Genomic DNA, 19,531 nt, shown 5'->3' with positions numbered 1-19,531 from the left:
GCACCTGGAGAAACATCATGTAGAGCTGGAGCGCTGAAGCCGGGTAACCCAAACTGCTGGGTCTGCAGTGGGGACCAGATCTGGGTAGGGTCCCAGGACACTGAGGTCCTTCGGGAAGGACTGCAGTAGGTCCTCTTGGCAGGGACACAGCAAAGGGCCTCCCGGCCAAGGAGGAGGGGTCTCAGGCGCCTTCCTTCTGGGGCAGTGGCGGGGCTGGATGGCAGCCTTCTCCATACAAAGGCAGTGAGCTTCTCGCCATCACCAGCAGAGGGCACCCCATGCTCAGCTCAGAAACTGCAGACCCAGCCCACTCTGCCTGCGGTCAAGAAACGCAGCTCCCTCTCCAGCAGAGGCTGCCCACAACCCACCTAAGGGGCACCCTCGGCCTTCAGCAAGGCTACTGAGTGTCACACTGGGGACCTGTAGCACCCACATGCCGGCTTGCCACGTTGAGAGGACACACAGGCCTGACTGTGGGGAGGAAGTGGCCCCTCTGGGGTGCGGGCTGCAGGCCCGGGAGGCTCGAACAGTGGACTCGGCGGTTTCTGGGCTACTCTTTTGATGCTGCCACAGACTCCCCAACCCCCCACCCACCTGTGCAACTCTCATCTGAGAGAAGCCCGAAAGCCACAGGCAGCCCAGCATGTCACAGCATCTCAGGCCCCGCTCTGCAGTCCCCGTCACTCGGCCCCTGCCTGCCCTCCCAGCCCACACAGCACCAGCACATGGCTGGGAGGCCCACATGGCGTGGCCTATGTCACTCCCTGCCCAGGAGATGTCCCTCTCGGAAGCGCTCAGCAGCCTGGTCCCCGGCCTGGAGTACAGGACAGTTGGCCTTGAGATCAGCACAGGCTTCCTGCATAGCCCACCCGAGTCGTCCTCCAGGGCACACGGCAAGGGTGGGCCGGGGTCACAATCCTGACTGCATCCCAAAGCCGGCATAAGGCCACGTGGCTGGAAACCACTGTCCCCAAGGCTCAGCATCTCAACTAGGGCAAACAGTCCCAGCTGGAGCTGTGGGACAGAGAGGGCCAGGGCCTCAGTGGCCCCGGGACAGGGACGGTACCACACTTTGGCTCCCCGGGGCCATGGGAGTCTGTGTATGAAAAGGGCACAGGGGAAGATCCTATGTGCTCTGCGTCTGTGTGTCCCTGTGTGTCTCCATGTTTCCAGGTGTGTTCATTCTTGTGTGAGTGTGAGTGCCTGAGCGTGCCCTCGTGCGTGGAACCCCACACAGGCCTGTGGCCTGGGTAGGTGTGTGCCCGTGTGTCTCACTGTGTGCATCTCCATGTTTCTGTGTGTGTGTTCCCATGCAAGGGCATGTCCTGTGCGTGTCAGGCCTGTGTGTGTCCTGGTGCAAGTAACCCCGTGTGGGCATGGGTCCCTGTGTGTGCTTCAGAGCGGGGCAGGGCAGTGGGACAGCAGGCCCCAGTTGGCAGGACAACACTCCCTTTGGGGAGCCCCCCCACATCCCAGGTGGGAAACACCAGTTGGAAGAAACGCCACCTGTCTTCTTGAATAACTAAAATCATCATCCCCACAGGAGCCCGCAGAAAGCAAGGGTGGCCAGGACAGCCTGCATCTTCACTGTCCCGAGCCCACCCTTCTCCTTCTCTGTGACGATGATGCTGGCTATGCTCCTCCATTTCTTGGAGCCTCTGTTTCCTTAAACATGATGGGGTGAGAAAGACCAGTCTGGTGGTATGTTCTGAGGATTAAATGAAACTGCGACCTGCAGGGCCTCACACGGGGCTGTCACCCTTCGCCATGTCCTCTGCAGGTGGGAATGTGACAGTCACAGCTTCCCATGAATCACACCACTCACTCCTCACCAGGACTCTACAAGGCAGGCACCATAACCCTGATTTCTACACACAAGGAAACTGAGGCCCTGTGAGGTCACATTATGTGCCCTGTCTTCTGAGGAGGGGGTCGCATCAGGCTGGTGGGAGTGAGGAGGGGCACCTCCTTGCTAAGGGGACTTCCCCCAGGCCAGCTGCCTCCTCCAGCTGTTGCCAGTGCAACATCACCCCCAACCCCAGGCACAGCCTATCCAGGGCCTTCCCAGGAAGGCCAGTCTGGAAGAAGCATACTGTTAGGGCTGAAAGTTTCTGTCCCCCTCAGAATTTATGCTGAGGCCCTAACTCCAATGGGCTGGTATCTGGAGGTGGGGCCTTTGCGAGGTGAGTAGGTGTAGATGAGGTCATGCGGTGGAATCCATGTGATGGGATGAGTGTCCTCATAAGAAGGAAAAAAAGAGAGGTCCTTTTCTCTCTCCATGTCCACTCCCAGGAAGGCCATGTGAGGGTACAGTGGGAGGGTGGCCGTGCTTCTCACTGCCCTCATCAGAACCTGACCCTGCTGGCACCCTGCCGGATCTCCAGCCTCCACCACTGTGAGAGGTAAAGGCCTGTGTGTGAGCCTCTCAGCAGATGATACTTTGTTACAGCAGCCTGAACCGACTACGACATGCTCCAGGAATCAGAGACCATGGCTCCATGGAGATGCTGGAAAACTTCCCCAGGTACACGAACTACAGTCTGATCATCAACAAATCAGCAGGGCCTTGACTGGTGAGACAAGGAAAAGTTGCCAAAGAAGCCCACATAGCAGCTGAGGAAGTGGAGAAGGAAGACGGCCCAAGTGAAGACCAAGGTGGAGCTTCCAGCTGCTGGCTGGTGGGGGGGCCCTGGAGGCAGCCAGTGGCCTCAGCCCCCGCTACCCTGCCCCCAGAGCAAAGCGCACACCCCTGGAGACCTGGCTGAGTGCCACTGAACTGGCTGCCACTGCCTGTCAGTGGCCCTGTCTATGCAGGGATGTGGCAGACTCCAGAGGTTTGGCAGTGGGACCAGGAGCAAGGAGGGTCACCAGGCAGGCCAATATACACTGCAGCCGAGAATGAGGTCAAGGGTCCTGCTCGCCCTTCCCTCCCTCTCACCTGCTCTTGACTTGCCCTCCCTGCAGACTCTCTGGTCCCCAAGAAAGCCTCCCATGGCCAATCTGGCCGAGAAAGTTTCCTATGCCCTGAGAGACACTATGCCAGGAGGAGGGTAGGGCAGGGCCTGGGAAGAACAATGCTGGCTGACAGCCACAGTCAGGGTGGCTGGTAGCAGCTAATGTTTGCTGAGCTCTTTCTGGGTGCCAAGAAGGTGTGAAAAGAGCATGACGTAAAACATCTCATCTCACTCCACAGAACCCTCCCATGCAGCAGGCTCCAGCTCCACCACTTCCTGGAGAAGAAACAGCTAAGAGGTAAGCAACGTGCCCACGCTCCTGGAAGGAATTAGAACTTGGCCCAGACAAGCCGAGAACCCAAGCTTTGTTTGCCAATGTTTATGAAGGGCCCAGAAAGGCCCAGCCCTCGACATGGGCACTAGCCTTGCACTTACAGCTTCTGTTTGGTGTCCAGTGGAGCTGAGAACCCCACCCATCCTGTCTTCACCCCTGGGGTGGGCACCTCCCTCTCCGTAGCACCCCTTGCAAACTTTGCCAACAGGGTCTGGCTTCTCCAACTGTTTTCCAACTCTTTTTTTTTGAGACGGAATTTCACTCTGTTGCCCAGGCTGGAGTGCAGAGTGCAATGGCGTGATCTCAGCTCATGGCCACCTCCGCCTCCCAGGTTCAAGCAATTCTCCTGCCTCCGCCTCCGGAGTAGCTGGGATTATAGGCACCTGCCACCATGCCTGGCTAATTTTTGCATTTTTAGTGGAGACGGGGTTTCACCATGTTGGCCAGGCTGGTCTCAAAGTCCTAACCTCAAGTGATCCACCCGCCTCGGCCTCCCAAAGTGCTGGGATTACAGGTGTGAGCCACCATGCCCAGCCTGTTCTCCAACTCTTTAATCATCAACTGAAAGACCTTGGTTCTCCTCTGCCCGAGCCTCACCATCTCTCAGCCTCAAGCCTGCACTGGTGGTACTTCCCTCCTCCAGGGCCTTCCTGCAGCTCCTGTTTGGACTGCTGTCTGTGTTCTTCCTAAAAGAGGGGCCTCTGCAATCCCAGGCAGAGAACGGGTATTGGAGGTCAATGCCTGGCTGGCTCTTGGGAAACAGAACATCCAAACTGGATCGTCCGCTATGCTTCCGAGCCCAGGCGGAGGGGGTGCTGAGCAGCACGTGGTGCCAAGGCTCCGAGTAGACAGAGAGGCAACCACGTGGGAAGTCACCCAGCAGTGGGGATTGGTTATCTAACTGTGAAGTTAATTCACCTAAACAAATGAGCGCCACCCACCAGCCCTCAGAACCCAGGCCTGGAAAGAAACTGTGCCTGCGGGATCCTTTGATCCTGTCATTTTGGGAAGGCTAAGGAGGGCATTCTCTTGGGCAGCACCTGTGGCTCACGGCCCCCAGGTGTGCTTGGGCCAGGATGCCAGGAAGCTGGAGCACCTGCCGGCCACCGTTCAGCATCAGGGAGCTACCTGGAATGCAGCCCAAAGTCACTGTTCCCCAAAGAGCACAGCCCTGGAGCCATGGGATGTGGCTGAAAAGGGCAATGAGATTATAGGAGCCACAGTGGGGGTCTGGGGCTGGGGTGGCTGACCCTGCAGAGGGCTCATACCTGGGCCTCTCCTCGATGCCAGACTTGCCCAGGCTCAGCAGGTAGCAATGGGCCACCTCCCAGGAGGCCCAGTAGTGACTGCAGGAGAACCTCGAAACACCCAGGCCAACAGAAGCAGCTTTCCTCTTGACATCAAATGCCAGGGAAGACAGAAACAGCCCCAACCCCTTGACACACTCCCAGCAGCAGCAGCAGCAGCAGGGGATGGGGTAGTGTGCGGAGCTAAAAGGGACATCTCTTCCTCTTTCCTACCTCCAGGTAGTGCAGGAACAAGAGGAGGGGTGGAAACGTCCTATCGGCTCACAGAGGAGGAAGGGAACCAAAGAGTAACACACCCGAGGGGCACACAGGCGGCCAGGGGCCCATGGCCTCACTCGCATCCTGGCTTAGCTACTTAGTGGCTGTGTGACTGGGCAAGACACTCAACCTCTCTGAGTCGCAGTTTCCTCATCTGTAAAAGGGAGATCACCTCTGACCCCACAGAACTGTCATGAGAATGCAGAGGCACAGTCCCTTTCTCCCTTTGGGAACTTGACACTCCATGTCATGTACCAAACTAAGAGATGGGCAGAACTGAGAAAAGTTCAGGCCCTGCCCCTGGCTGCAAATTCTAAGAGGAAGTAGCCTGGAGCTTCTGCCCCCCTTTCCTGGCTAGTGTCGTCAGGGGAGCTCGCCCGTCACCTCCGACACAGATGGCAGCATGCGGGCAGGCCACCACCCCTCACTTTCATAAAGTCCCTCGCAGGCTGTGAAACCTTTTCAGTCTCAACACCCAGTGGAGGGGCCACGGACCCTGCATCATTGCCCTCAGAGAGCACGGACACCCAGGGAAGCAAAAGGGTGTCCCCAAATCAGTACACTGGTAGCAGTGAGGGAGAGCGGACCCTGACGGGGCTTCGCCCATCTGGCATCTTTCTTTCTGCATCAAGGACTGCAAACCCGTTGGGCAGTGCCAGGGGATACCGAGGTGGATGTCCAGGCTTGGAGTGCCCAACTGATCAGCAGCATCTGCCCCAGGAATGGCAGGGGCAGGGGCAAAGCACAGGCATCTATCATCCTGCCTTAGCCACCATCAAGCCACCTCCCTTAACGTGCCTCGGATAGAAAGCTCTGAGTGAAGGGGTGCTGGTCAGACTCACGGTGACTTTTCTAGAGTCATTAGTCCTCCACCTTGCTTTGCAGCTAAGGCACCCAGGTGACCCCTCCTCAATGAGCAAGTGCCCCTCCACCAGGGCGAGGTCCTGGGGAGGATGCAGATCCAGGCCCCTGCCTTTGTGAAGCAACCAGCCCTTTTTTTTTTTTTTTCTTTTTTTTGAGACAGAATCTCGCTCTGTTGCCCAGACTGGAGTGCAGTGGCACAATCTCGGCTCACTGCAACCTCCGCCTCCCAGGTTCACGAGATTCTCCTGCCTCAGCCTCCTGAGTAGCTGGGACTACAGGTGCCCACCACCACGCCCAGCTAATTTTTTGTATTTTTAGTAGAGATGGGGTTTTATCGTGTTAGCCAGGATGGTCTCAAACTTCTGACCTGGTGATCCGCCTGCCTCGGCCTCCCAAAGTACTAGGATTACAGGTGTGAGCCACCGCGCCCAGCCGCACCCAGCCCTTCTTAAATTACACTTCCTCCTTGGTGGCCCCGAGACATGACCATGGGTAAGCGTGGAAGTTGGCCCCCATGGGGACGGATGCAGGAACGAGGGCCTAGGTGTCAACTTCTAGACAACATCGCGTTTTCCTTAATTCCCCAAAGCAGTGGATTCCAATGATCCGAGCACTGAGAAGGCCCTTCCTTGTCTCTAGGAATGCTAAATGGCAGCTGCAGTTGCAGGGAGCAGACTAGGCACAGGAGAAGCCATGGGAAAAAGGACGCCCACACTCACTTCCCAGGAGGTCAGAGCGCTCATAAAAGAATAGTCGGTAGAAGAGAAAGAGCAGGCATCTCAGGAGGGTAGGGCGAACCTGGCAGGAACCCACCCAGCACGTGGAGGCTTAGGAGAAGCAAATCCAACATCCACTTAGATCTGTGTGGACTGCCCACAGGTTTGTCACAGGTTTGCTCTCCTTCTGGGGCCCTGAGCCAGGGAAGAGAACCAAGGGCAGGGCCCGGTTGTTGCTCCAAGAAGCAAGATCTGATCCCCCACCACTCCCAGGTCCCAGCCATGGGATGAGCAGCTGGGGAACACTTGCACTGCTCAACGCCTCCACTGGAAGGTGCCGGGGACCCACTTCCGCCTTCAATGCGCTCAGAGACTGCCAAGGAGCCAACACGGATGGCGAGGACTGCCACTAAATCATGCCCATTTGACAGCCCAGGTGCCCGATGAGGTGGGGCCATGTTCCCACCCTGCTGCAAAGACAAGGAATGGGCCCAGTTGGGAGAAGCTCTAGGCCACCCAGTGGGTCGGTCCTCACGATGCTGGCATGGGACTCTGAGTCTGCCCAGCTCCAGGGCTTGGACAAGCCGGAGAGCGGAATGGAAGGGACAGCTCCCTCCTCCTCCATGCCCTTCCTGGGCCAGGCCCACCAGGAGAAACCTGACCAAGTCCCTCACTAAAGGTCAACTCGGATTAGACTCTGGACACTCAGGGTACCATTCCCAAAGTGGTGTGTGGCAGATGGGGCTGACAGCTGCCTGCCTGGTGGCCCAGGGCAGGAGGAGGAAAGCAAGCCCCATGTGTTGGGCAGGTCCACCCTGGGGGCCCTGAGGACAGGGCCCGTGTCCTTGGTACAGTGCCGACCACCTGGCCCATGAACCAGAAGAAAGAGAAGGAGGTGGTTCTCTTTTTTTTTTTTTTTTTTTTTTTTGAGATGGAGTTTCACTCTGTCACCCAGGCTGGAGTGCAGTGGTGAGATCTCGGCTCACTGCAAACTCCGCCTCCTGGGTTCAAGCGATTCACCTGCCTCAGCCTCCCGAGTAGCTGGGATTACAGGCACCCACCACCGTGCCCAGTTAATTTTTGTATTTTTAGTAGAGACGGGGTTTCACCATGTTGGCCAGGCTGGTCTCGAATTCTTGACCTCCTGATCCACCCGCCTAGGCCTCCCAAAGTGCTAGGATTACAGGCGTGAGCCACCGCACCCAGCCATGAGGTGGTTCTGAGGCAACTACAGTCAGGTTCACGCCCAGCCTGTGTCCTGCCTGGGCCAGACAGCTTCTGTCCCTGCATGAGACCCCTGAGGCCGGGGGTCAGCTCCCCTCGCCTCAGTGCTGCTTCTGACAAAAGCTGTTCCCCCTGGACACTGGCTCCCCAGCTTACACGCCTTGGCTGTTCTCAGTAGCTGCTACCTGCCTGGGAATGCATCTGCCTCATTATGTGCCAGGCCACACCTAGGAAGGCTCAGAGCGGCACAGGCACAGGCCATGCCTGCTCATCGATGATGTGCACACAGAGTACATCAGTGACGGGGGGGAAGGGGAAGGAGAGTCTTCCCGGAGGAAGACGTGAAGTGCTTCAACCAGTCTCACGTCACAGACACAAACCACGAACCCCACTTTCTAATCCTTAAACCCGATGTTAACTGTTTTTTAATGAAAGCACTCAGGGGGAAGTAGGAGGATTCCAGGCAGACAAAATGCCATCCTCCTACTCACCTCCTTTGCACAAGTCTCCTTGGCTGGGGAGCCTGAGCTGGCAAGACTGTGGGGGATAAAAAAAAAGGGGTCCCTGGACACAACCCACAATGACAGAAAAGGAAAGAGGTGGCTGAGTGAGGCATGGTGATGGCTGCCACCTGGAGGGCATGGTGCTTGCAGGGTCACCCCTGAGACTGCACCCAGACACCTTCCACACAGGACTGAGTGTGCGGCCAATCTCACCAATCCCAGAAGGCAAGGTCTGCTGAGGACCAGGAAGGGCTCCAGACCTCAGATCGAGGGGCCCTGCATGCCCCCAGCTCAGCAGGATGGGTGGACCCAAGCCATCCCCTGCCACACTCACCTCTCCCTTCTTCACCGTCATGGACTGCCGTCGGGGTGTGATCTCCTCATTGATGCTGGACAGGAAGTTCTGTGAGATGCGGAGGGCGTCCTGCAGCAAGGGGTGGTCAGGGTGGCTGGCAGGAGTGTGCTTCAGCAAGTCCTGCCCCAGGAAGAAAGACTTGAGTTAGACACAGAGGAGCACTGGCACCTGCCACTGTGTGCAAAGTGCAGACACAAAGTGTGGACGGAGCCCAGAGCGCCGGCTCCCTCAGTGTCACCACAGTCTCTCTCACTTGGGCCCCAGCTTTGTGGACAGAGCTTGTGTGAGCACCATCCTGGAAGCAGGTCCTACATGTGTTCCAGCAAACTCACGCTGCATGCACATGGCCAAGAAGGACTCCTCTGTAAGGATCTAGGGCAGGGTTTCTCAACCTCAGCACTGTGGACATTTTGCGTGGAGTAACTCTTTGTGGAGGGACAAGAGAGAGCTGTCCTTTCCCTACAGAATGTCCAACACCACCCCAGGCCTCTACCCATTAGATGCCAGTAGCACCCCCTTGGCTGCAGCTATGACAACTAAAAAAAGGTCTCAGAACATTGTTGCTGTGTGTGCCCGAGGGGGCAGTTTTGGTCCCGGTCCAGAGGGGCGCTGTGACTTACATGGAGGACCAGCGTGCTCCTCGTCACACGGTCCACAGGCTTGTAGAGCAGAGCTGTGGAGAGAGAGGGGAGGTGAGAGAGGTTGCACATGGAGAAGCACACCAGCTGCCTGACCACCCTCGGTGCAAGGGTGAGTGGGGAGGGGGCTGCCCCAGCCTCCACAGGCCCCATCTCCCCTCTGCGCAGTGACAAGGGCAAGGCTAGAGCACCCAACAGGAACACTTTAAGTCCAGGACATTCACTGCATGCAGAGTCCAGAGCGGCTGTCAGACCCGAGCCTGCATGGCTGGCTCGGTGGCAACAGCTGAAAAGGCTCAGCACTGCTGCTCCTCTAGCCTGAGGTCAGGGAACCCACCCTGGCAAGGACGGGCTGGGGTGGGCCCCAATTCTGGAGGGAGACCTGCTCCCCAGCCCAGAGGGTAAGCTGAGCAGACCTCTTAGCTGCTCTTACCATCGATCCCAGGACATTTCAGACACCTGACTCTGAGACAAGCAGAAACCTACTCAGATGCCAATACAACTCTTGGTTTGACAGGTTCTCTGGCGACCTGCCCGAGGACACCCGGACTCCAGAGGCACATGAGCCCCACTGCAGTGGGAGCAACTCCCTGGCATGGTGGGAGCCCTGGCCAGCCTCAGCCACCCGTGCTTCTCCATGATGACAGTGAGTGTGGCCCGTCCCAGGCACAGACGCTCAGGTGTGTTCTGAGACATGCCAAGTATGTTCTTCACAAGACTCCCACAACCAGCATAAGGCACTCATCGCTATTTTCATTTTGCAGATAGGGAAACTGAGGCTTGGAGGACAAAGCTCCGGGGGCTGCTGTTCTTTGCAAGTGTAACTATTCACAACACCCTAACAACTGAAAATAAGAAGTGACTGACAATTCCTGACAGCACTTTCCCAGCAACTCTGGACTCAATTCCTGCCCAGCCACTTAAAGCCTGTGCTCTGCACAGATTACTTTATGACCAAACTTGTCATTGGCAAAAACAGAAAATAAAATCCTTGTTACTGCCAGGTGCGGTAGCTCACACCTGTAATCCCAGCACTTTGGGAGGCCAAGGCACTTTAGGTCAGGAGTTCAGACAAGCCTGACCAATACGGAGGGAAACCCCATCTCTATTAAAAATACAAAAATTAGCTGGCTGTGGTGGTGTGTGCCTGTAATCCCAGCTACTCGGGAGGCTGAGGCAGGAGGATCACTTGAACCCGGGAAGTGGAGGTTGCAGTGAGCCAAAACTCCGCCTCAAAAAAAAAAAATCCTCCTTATGAGGCCACTGGGGTCAACAGGATAACATTTAAGTCAATTTAAGCAGCACCTTGTTGCTAATGTTGGTGGCAAACTGGTCCTGATGGTATCCTTCCCTGCCCTCCCTGAGCTGTTCTTTCCTCGTGCCCACTCTATCTGAAGAGAGAACAGGGAAGGCACCAAGGGATGACCCAAGTGGGCACTGTGTCTGCTTTTCCACAACGCCCCCTCTGCCAGCAGCAGCCTCCCTGACGAGGGCACACAGAGACCTCAGCATGCAGAACTCACTTTCCAGAGAGTTCTTGGTCGTTGGATCCTTGGCATCTTTGTTGCTTCTGGCTCTCAGGTTCTGCAGAGAGAAAAGCGCATGTTCACACAGATGACAGAAGCAGCTTTGATGATGCAGACAGTTCCCCCTTTGGCAACAATTTCAGCTTTCCCTCACTACAACAAACCCCAGGTGCATTCTGAGCTGATAATGAAGTCACAGGGTGTGCAGGGACCCACGAGCAAGCCGAGCACGCAGGATGCCCTGGATGCTGCGGTCCACCTGGGACAGGGCTTCTCAGCCAGGTCACTGTTGACATTTTGGGCTACAGATTCTCTGAGCAGCTGTCCTGGGCACCTTAGGGTGCTGAGCAGCTGCCCTGGCCTCTACCTATAGGTACAGGAGCACGTCTGCCTTCCTGCTGTTTTGACAACCAAAATGTCTCCAGGCATTGCCAAGTGTCCCTTGTGAACAAAATCACGCCTGGCTGAGATCCTCTGACACAGAGGATCCTGTAAATGGAGGCCAACAGGAGCATGCTCCTAAACACACGTCACTGTTTTCTTGGGGCAATTAGACAGCATGCAGGGGGCTGCCAGTTCCGAAGAGCACCCATCTTTGGAGACGGCCAGGGCAGGCCCACCACTGCAGACTGACACTGGATTATACCTCCACCTGCCCTCTCCGGATCTGCAAGTGTACTTACTAAAAAATGAGGTGCTAAGATTCCCAGGGCAAAAGCAGGGCTTGTAAGTGAATAGCCTAGGCTGTTTTGATACAATTGTGTTGAAAGCATCACTGGAGAAGTGCAGAATAAAAGATCCCTGTGTGCCTAAAATCCTCTGGGAAGGAGCTGAGATTAATTCCTGGTACTAAGCTTCTGAACAAAAGCATAAACAGAGACAGAAGAGGTTCTGAGGTTGCTCTGCCAACCTCTTGTGCTGCAGGAAACATCTCAAGACCAGACGAAAGTGTTTTCCAGCTCACTGGGGCCAAACGCTGCCATGCACTTTGGTACCTTTCCTGAGAGTTTAACAGCCCTCGCAGTGACTGTTCTTCTGTATATCTGACTCAGCAGTTCCCAAAGGGTGTAAGGGGGTGGGAGAGCCAAACAAAAGACTGCAAAAACCAGGTGCTGGGCTCACAAGAGCCTGGGAGGCGGCCCACGTGTCCGTGGACAGTGTGATGCTTGGGAGTTATCTAGGAGCTCCAGGAAAACCTGCCTCAAGAAAACTTGTGAGTTTGGTTTAACCCTGCATTTCCCAAACTGGCCTGACTCCCAAAGCCCTTTTCATGTAATTCCTATTCCTACCGTCTGGAGAGCTGGTGTTCCATGGAACCAGATCTAACTGGATGCTGCCCATCTCTCAGGACTGTCCCAGGAGAAGACGGACACTACTCCACTCCTTCCTGTACTTGAGGGTGATCTTCGAACTCCCACGCCTGAGCACTGACCCCCCAACACCTCTGCAGGGCTTGCTGCTTTCTCTTCCTTGCGTTTGACTCTGCTTTCTTTGGGTGGCTCCAATTCCTCTGGGTCTTTTTTGAAACACAGAGAACCAAAGTGCATGTCGCCCTGATGGTGCAGGTGCCACAAACTTTCACGGTGGGTCGGTTTGCAGCTGGTCCTGAGCCCCATCCCACTCCCTGCATCTCAACCATGGCTCAGAATCCACTGGTGCATGGTTGGTGGCACCACGTGATCCCCAGGTGGCGTCCCATGGTGTTTCCTCCCTCCTCTGCAGAAACCTGTCTGGGTGGACTTGAACTTGCCCGCTTAACTGTAACCTGTTCTTAAAAGATCAGGTCCCTGATTTGTCAAGGTCACTTGAAATTCGATGCCACCATTCCAGCTGTGGGGGAGGAGGGTTGCTCATTTAATGAAAAAGGAAAAGAGAACAGATTGAATGGTCCAGAGGGAGGCTGGCAGTGGGGAGGGAGCTGGAGCCCCGGATACATGCAGAGCCTGTTACCAGCAGCACCTGGCGGAGCAGGGTGCCCCACAGACTCTGGAAGAACAGAGCGGCAGGTACTGTCACCACTGGAGACATCAGAGCGAAGCCCGTGATGCTCCATCCGGTGATAAACAATAAGACGGCACAAAGCCTCAGCAACAAAGCCCAGGGGTGACAGCTGAGGGTGTCCCAGCAAGGGTGACCGCATTCACTCCCTATTTCTAGTGCCCATGCCTCTTTCTAACCCTGCGGTTCTCACACGGAGGGCTTTCTGCTCAGAACCCTTGCTGGGTGGGGGAAAGCCAAGTCAGAAGGCAAAGCTACAGCGAGATGGGGGGCTCATGAAGAGGCAAGGGCCTCCAAAGAGGAAAATGTCGCAGAGTGACCACCAGGCAGACACAGGCTGGAGAAGGGCAGAAAGAACCCCAGTCTGGAGTGCAGACCCAGGGGTGTGGCTGGGTTCTGGTTCTGGCTGGGCCACCAGCCTTCTGAATGGCCCATTCATGGTCTCTGTTTCTGAATGACTCTTTCGAGGCCCTGGGCGCTAACACCACATGGTTTGAGGTTTCAGCTTCCTGGGGCTAAATGCAGGCAGGGAGTCAGCAGCCTCTCAGACCTGGGGCCTGGGTTAGTGCAGCTCCAACCTGTCGCTTTGCTCCCCACATGGGTCCACAGAGCACAGGTGCCATGAGCCCTCGCCCCACGGCGCTAGCCCCTCAATGCTTCCTCAATGCTCTCAAGGTCTCTGGCAGGCTAGAAAAGGAAGAGTGGGCCACCTCCGGCCTCGCCTCCAGTGCCAGGTACAAAGTCAGCCTCAGGACTCTTGTGGAGAGAGCTGCTCACAGGCAGAACTACAGACACCCCTCACTGCAGACAGACAGTGCAAAGAGTGTCCCCGGAACTCGGCAACCCCCAGAATCAGGCCCTCGCCCCCGGGGAGGCAGGACGCCCTGTGGGCTGCTCCTTCGGTCTGCGCACAACAGCATCCCCAGCACAGGGCTGACGCAACGAACCCAACAGAATCTGGAAACAGCTGGGGTTCACGACCAGATCTTGATCTGGTGCACTCTGTTCTCCTCGGGAGGTGGAGGGTACAGGTGGGAGTCAGCGGTGCACCTGTCTGAACGGCATCAAGGCATTACCTCGGAGATTTCTGCAAACTGAGCATTGGCCTGACAGCACTTCTCAGCCATTTCCATGGCAACTCCGTAGTTGTCCACGAAGGCCCGGTACACACCCAGCTGGCTGGCCTGAGGGGGAGGAAGGAAGAGAGAGTGGGACAGGTGCTGCTGCTCCCCCATCTTTCTGAAGAGCAGGCTCCCGTGCACAGCTCTGCAGAAACTCCAGGGACAGCAGACGGCACACAGGCTGCAGAGGCCTCGGCGCTTCCGTGCTGCTCCCTCCCACCTGCTCCCCTCCCCACGCACCCAGCACACTTCCCGCTCCCAAAATGACATGCTGAGAAGTGACTCACGGCGCCAGGCAGGTAACAGTTCCCTTCCAGAGCTACTTATTCCTCCCACCCCATTCGCTGAAATGGTGCCATGAGCGGCAGCTGAAGTTTGAGGTTGTCAGTGAATCTGGACAAGTGTCTGTGCTCAGCACTTTCCCATTCTGGCTGCAAGAGTGTACCCTGGACACAGAGGTCACCCCCTTTCCCACCCATGGTGTTCCACGCATGTCCAGTCCCTTCAGACACATAAGAAATGCCAAGTCCGGCCGTCTTTGCAGAAGAGAGCCTCCCACTGCACAGACACAAGCCCATCCTGGGCCTGGTGAGGGTGCTCAGGTGTCATGCTACACACCTGGTGGGGGGAGACCGACCGGCTGTAAGGCGAGAGGTGTTGTTTGTTCTTTATTAAACCAATGGCAATAATAGATCTCCTCACTGCACCTCCAGCTCAGACACACACTCGATTCAGCAACAACTTGTGTGAGTGCAGCAGACACTGCCATCTCTGGGCCCCACAACACCTTTATGGGCAGCGAGGGAAAAATCAGCAAACCTAGGCCTGGGGAGTATAAGGGCAGACCCAGGAGATGCACTGGTCAGGGCTGGAGACTCCCACTGTAGCTGACTGCAAGCTGGAAGCCCAAGGCATTCACGGCTCCTGGTGTTTGTTTTGTGTCAAACCTAAATTTTATTTCCATGTGCATTTGCATTTATATTGAATTTTATGTTTCTACAGATGACAATCCCAGATGCTGGATAAACCAGGCACCCTTGGCACTGTCTGATCTTCTGGCCCTGCTCCCTACAAGGGCTGCAAGAAGGGTCTTAGAGTGTACGAGGAAAGGGTAGCAGCTGGAAGACACCTGCCAGGCCCCTGCCATGCTGACCACCTGGAGGAGTCCTTGCATCCTCCAATTCTAGGTTCTTCCTCATCCGTGCAGTGATGAGGCCCAGAGCTCTTCCTTCTTTCCCTCCTCCCTCCTTTGCAAGTCACTGAGTGCCTCCCAGCCTTGGTACAAAGCAGCCAAGGGCCTGCTTTAGGCCTTGTCACCGCAGTGGTAAACAATTCAGACACGGCGCTGCCCTCTGAAGCTGGTGTTCTAACAGGACAGTGCCTGATAAACACATGCATGAACACACACAAGCAAAGTAATGGCAGATGGTTATAAGCAGGACAGGGACTGAGAGCAAGGAGACTGCTTTTGAGAATGTGGTCAGGACCAGGACAGCCTCTCAGAAGAGGTGACAGCTCAGCAGGGTCTCAGGGGTCTTGGGAAGAGGACTCCTTTCAAGACTTCTCCTCCCTCCTGCTCCAGGAGCTCACATCTTCCAGGTGGCTTGTGCAAAGTTCTAAGCAATTCCTTTCCACATTTTTCACTAATCAAAAATGTGCCTCCGGATCTGATGCACTGAGAAGCACACAGCCTCGCTGCTGTGGTGCTGTTACGCAGAACGTGAGGCTATTCCTGAGGAAACTGGCAAACCCGAGTGGGCCTGTGCCCTTCAAAAAATGTCAAGGTTGTCTGGGCACGGCGGCCTGTAATCCTAGCACTTTGGGAGGCCGAGGCAGGCAGATCACCTGAGGTCAGGAGTTCAAGACCAACCTGGCCAACATGGCAATACCCAGTTTCTACTGAAAATACAAAAATTAGACGGGCGTGACGGCGCATGCCTATAATCCCAGCCACTCGGGAGGCTGAGACAGGAGAATCGCTTGAACCTGGGAGGCAGAGGTTGCAAGGAGCTAAGATCACGCCACTGCACTCCAGCCTGGGTGACAGAGCGAGACTCCATCTCCAAAAGGGAAAAAAAAAAAGGCAGGGTGCGGTGGCTCATGCCTATAATCCCAGTACTTTGGGAGGCTGAGGCGGGCGGGTCACCTGAGGTCAGGAGTTTGAGACCAGCCTGGCCAACATGGTGAAACCTTGTCTCTACTAAAAACACAAAAAAATTTAGCTGGGCATGGTGGCACGTGCCTGTAGTCCCAGCTACTCAGGGAAGCTGAGGCAGGAGAATCGCCTGAACCCAGGAGGCAGAGGTTGCAGTGAGACAAGACTGCACCACTGTACTCCAGATTGGGCGACAGAGTGAGACTCTATCTCAAGGAAAAAGAAAAAAAAAAAGTCAAGGTCATGGAAGACAAGCAAAGTCTAAGGAACTGGTACAGATGGAAGGAGACTAGAGAGATGGGACAACCAAGTACATAACATGATCTTAAACCGGGTCCTGAATCAGAGAATGAAAACAGCTGTGAAGAATGTAATTGTTAACTTGGGGGAAGTTTATATGAACTACATATTAAATAATAGTATCTCATGAATGTGAAATTTCCTGAATTTGACAAATTCTACTGTGAGTTATAGGAATGTCCTTGTTCTTAGCAAATGAAGTATTCAGGGGGAAAACTTCTTGTGCTTGTGTGTGTATGTGTCTATGTGCGTTTGCGTGTGCACAGAAAGAGATAAAGCAAATGTGGCAAAAAGTTCCCATCAGTGTATCTGGATGAAGGCTATACTAGAGCTCTTTGCCCCATTCTTACAGTTCTCCTGTAAGTTTGAAATAATTAGAAAAATAAAAATTCTGAGTTGATAAAACTTCAGCCAGAACCACAACCCAGAGCAGGGAAGTCAGCCCGTGCAGCCCCACAGGAGGAGGTGGCAGAAGCCGCATCTGAGTCTGGCTTTCTGAACCACTGGACGTGGATCACGAGTTCCTGGGCTTGGAAGAGGCACCGGAGCTGGGAAGGGCACTGCAAGCTCCTTTGGTCCTAAGACTTGTCCAACCCGGAAACCTGACAGAGCGATGCTGGGCCAACCCTACTGAGCTGGTCATGGGGACAAGGGCAGGCACCGGGCCTATCTGTCCTTGGGGAGTCCCCAGCACCCAGCCCAGGTTGAACACACGTGAGTACTCAGCTCGTCGTTATGGGGAACAACTTCCCACTGCAACGCCAGCCTCTCCTCCGAGTCTTCCGGCTGCATCATCTGACGCATGAAGGTAGCTCAAGGCCTCCAGGGCAGCCAGCGGAAACCTTCCAAAGTTAAATTCCAGTGTTCCTCAGATATTAAAGTTTTAAAAAAGTCTCTGAGTGATTTCGGAATATTATCTGGCAAAGAGCTCTGGATGTGTGTTTTTTTCCCCCCAACAACACGATTCTCCATTTCTCAGGAGGGCGGCAGGCCAAGTCACGTCCACTAGGTTTTTTTTCTTTTTTTTTCTGTGAACAATCAAGCTTTATTTTTACAAAAATGAAAATTGTAAAATCTCTCAACAGCCAGCCTGAGGTAGGGCTGGCTAGAACTCACTCAGAACTGCTGGGTTCCCTTTGCCCTCTCTTGGTTTCAAAACAAAACCAGGCCACAGTGCCCCAGGAATGAACCTCTGGCCCCGAGAGGTTGGTCAAGCGTGAGGTCTGGCTGGTGCTAGCGGGCTATTGGCAGCCTCACCTTTCTTTCCAGGAAGTGGCAGAAAGAAACCACCTGGGAAGGCGGGAGAACCTCACCTCACTCTGTAGGCTATCACGGCTCTAATAAGGGGTGTAGGATGGGCCTCTCCAGGCCAGATCCTTGCTCTGGCCAAACAGAGTCGCAGGGCCGAGGTTCAGCTGCACTCCTCTAAAGCAGCAGGTCCTGCCTCTCCAACAGGTTCCTGGGAGGGACTGCATCTCTGGTAAGCCACAAAGCTCCAGGAGTCAGAAGCCTCTACTGCAAGGTGCCTGAGCACTGGGGTCACAGGCCCAGGAGCACAGTGGGGCAGTGGGGAGGAACTATCACTGCACCCTTCATGCAAGAGAGGTCCCTGACTCACTGGTCTCCTTGGCCCACAGGCAGGGGTGGCCCTGACGGTCACGGGTTTTGAATATCCAGGACGTGGAGGTTGTAAGACAGCGCAGCATAGAGATGCTTGGTGGTGAGATGCAGGCAGTACACAGGGCTGCCGAGGCGGGTCGACGTCAGCGGGAAGGTGTGCGGGCAGGCCCTTTGGTGCCGGTCCCACAGCCGTACAACGCTATAGAAGGAGGAACCTGTGGCAAGCAAGTGGTTGCCATCTGTCTGCAGGCAGTACAGGGTGCTGTTGTGGGGCTCCTCCCACTCCATGACACATTTCCGGACACTGGTGCGGCAGTCCCAGTAGCGAACATAGGTGTCATAGCCACAGGAGAGCAGTGCGAAAGGGGACTCATATATGACATCCAGCACCCCAGCCCTTGGGGGAAAGTCTCTGTCCAAGTGTGTCATCAGCTGCCCACTGTTGAGGTCCCAGATTTTCAGGGGTGAGAAGTGCCCACAACAAGCCGTCCCTGTCACAAAAGAGCTGAGTAATGGCCTGATAGCAACAGACCAGATTTGGTCTTCAGTCTGGATGGTGTATAAACACTACCCCAGCTGGCCTGAGGCCAAAGGCCACACCTTGGCCGTCCTGTCCCTGGAGCCACTCACAATGATATGATGCCCCCTTTGCAATCCACACAGTTCACCTCCTGTTCATGAGCCCAGTACTTGGCAGCGAAGGTGCTGTGAATCTTACCAAGGCCAATCTTCCCATCTCCTCCTGCACTGACAATATGCGAGGTGGCCAGCACAAAGTGGCAAACGTCCTCATCATGCCCAGCAGACTCCCAGAGGCTGACGGTTCAAGCTGGCACCATCTGGACGGAACTGGTAGGCCAGGATGAAATTAGCCTGGGATATGTACAAAGCATCATCCTCTAGCTGCATCCAGGGCATCTGACTGCATCTCCACTTCAGCAGAATCCCCTCTCGGCAGCACCCCACTATCCAGTTCTGAGACACCTTCACTGGGACACTGGTCATCAGGTTGGTGCCGAGCCGCGTGAAGCCGGAGTTGAGCGAGGCCCAGGCTATCTGGCGCCGGAGCAGGTCGCAGTTGGTGAAGTGCCACAGCCAGCGGTACACCTGGGCCAGGCGGCCGAGGGCCCGCATGTCGAGGTAGGAGCACATGTGCAGCAGCAGCACTTCCGGCAGGCGCCAGAGCGCTGGCCCCGCAGCCGGGCAGGCGGCTGACTCCCGAGCCGCCTCCTCCTCCTCCTCCCTGGCTGCCGCCGCCATGGCCGCCCCTGTCCCCGGGATGTAGGCCCAAACCTGACCTCCTTGTCCTTGTACTCTTCCCGGCCTGGCGCCCTCCCGCCGCCTAGCCCTGACCCTCCATTCCTCCTTCCCATACTTTCTTCCTTGTGCCTCTTTCCCGGCCCCTACGCTCCCCTCATCTCCTTTGATGATGCCTCTCGCCCCTTCCTCCACGCTTCCGCCTCCCTCTGCTTCCTCTCTTGGGCGTGTCCTCGCTCCCGCCTCAGCCCCCGGCCCGCTGCCTCCTTCGCCGTCTGCGGCCCGGGCTTCCCTTCCGCCCTGCTTCCTCTTCCGCCTTGCCCCTCTCGCTCGCTTTTCCCTTCCTCTTCCCCTTCCTTCGCTTCCCCCTCGTCACCCTCCCTTCCTGCAGCTTCTTCGCC

The 19,531-nt window shown here is 55.8% G+C and overlaps 1 protein-coding gene and 1 pseudogene across 3 annotated transcripts in view, besides 8 other annotated features; both read right to left on the bottom strand.

Annotated features, from left to right (window-relative positions):
* Positions 1–8,542: part of a mitotic recombination region, noted in NCBI's record as "BCR-ABL p200 breakpoint cluster region, recombines with the ABL breakpoint recombination region, producing the e8a2 transcript", that runs on past the window's edge. NCBI's record gives the evidence for it as "EXISTENCE:nucleotide sequencing assay evidence [ECO:0000219][PMID:10233416, PMID:10516770]".
* Positions 1–19,531, bottom strand: part of BCR (BCR activator of RhoGEF and GTPase) — a 137,529-nt gene that overhangs the window by 35,769 nt on the left and 82,229 nt on the right. For both annotated transcript variants that reach the window (NM_004327.4, NM_021574.3), the window contains exons 5-8: positions 13,754–13,861; positions 10,677–10,737; positions 9,136–9,188; positions 8,495–8,635 (exon numbers count right to left, since the gene is read on the bottom strand). In NM_004327.4, the coding sequence (NP_004318.3) occupies positions 8,495–8,635; positions 9,136–9,188; positions 10,677–10,737; positions 13,754–13,861 (363 nt within the window). The remainder of the gene's footprint in view (positions 1–8,494; positions 8,636–9,135; positions 9,189–10,676; positions 10,738–13,753; positions 13,862–19,531) is intronic.
* Positions 175–224: a silencer, noted in NCBI's record as "silent region_13538". NCBI's record gives its function as "represses an Ori minimal core promoter by ATAC-STARR-seq in GM12878 lymphoblastoid cells {active_cell/tissue: GM12878}" and the evidence as "EXISTENCE:reporter gene assay evidence [ECO:0000049][PMID:35858748]".
* Positions 615–724: an enhancer, noted in NCBI's record as "active region_18754". NCBI's record gives its function as "activates an Ori minimal core promoter by ATAC-STARR-seq in GM12878 lymphoblastoid cells {active_cell/tissue: GM12878}" and the evidence as "EXISTENCE:reporter gene assay evidence [ECO:0000049][PMID:35858748]".
* Positions 2,206–2,513: a silencer, noted in NCBI's record as "fragment chr22:23621943-23622250 (GRCh37/hg19 assembly coordinates)". NCBI's record gives its function as "represses an EF-1alpha promoter that drives an FKBP-Casp9 reporter gene in an ReSE screen in HepG2 liver carcinoma cells {active_cell/tissue: HepG2}" and the evidence as "EXISTENCE:reporter gene assay evidence [ECO:0000049][PMID:32094911]".
* Positions 9,189–10,676: a mitotic recombination region, noted in NCBI's record as "BCR-ABL p195 breakpoint cluster region, recombines with the ABL breakpoint recombination region, producing the e6a2 transcript". NCBI's record gives the evidence for it as "EXISTENCE:nucleotide sequencing assay evidence [ECO:0000219][PMID:26149409, PMID:21804629]".
* Positions 12,483–13,153: an enhancer, noted in NCBI's record as "H3K27ac-H3K4me1 hESC enhancer chr22:23611303-23611973 (GRCh37/hg19 assembly coordinates)". NCBI's record gives its function as "activates a minimal SCP1, AML or CMV promoter by ChIP-STARR-seq in primed H9 embryonic stem cells {active_cell/tissue: H9 hESC(primed)}" and the evidence as "EXISTENCE:reporter gene assay evidence [ECO:0000049][PMID:30033119]".
* Positions 13,059–13,108: a silencer, noted in NCBI's record as "silent region_13537". NCBI's record gives its function as "represses an Ori minimal core promoter by ATAC-STARR-seq in GM12878 lymphoblastoid cells {active_cell/tissue: GM12878}" and the evidence as "EXISTENCE:reporter gene assay evidence [ECO:0000049][PMID:35858748]".
* FBXW4P1 (F-box and WD repeat domain containing 4 pseudogene 1) lies at positions 17,264–19,502 on the bottom strand (annotated as a pseudogene). Its single transcript, NR_033408.1, has one exon. The product of NR_033408.1 is annotated as an F-box and WD repeat domain containing 4 pseudogene 1 (transcript).
* Positions 17,851–18,100: an enhancer, noted in NCBI's record as "active region_18753". NCBI's record gives its function as "activates an Ori minimal core promoter by ATAC-STARR-seq in GM12878 lymphoblastoid cells {active_cell/tissue: GM12878}" and the evidence as "EXISTENCE:reporter gene assay evidence [ECO:0000049][PMID:35858748]".

The sequence above is a fragment of the Homo sapiens genome, chromosome 22, assembly GCF_000001405.40.
Source record: "Homo sapiens chromosome 22, GRCh38.p14 Primary Assembly".
NCBI lineage: Eukaryota > Metazoa > Chordata > Mammalia > Primates > Hominidae > Homo > Homo sapiens.
Note: the sequence above shows the minus strand (reverse complement) of the source record. Positions and strands in the feature narration are given on the sequence as shown.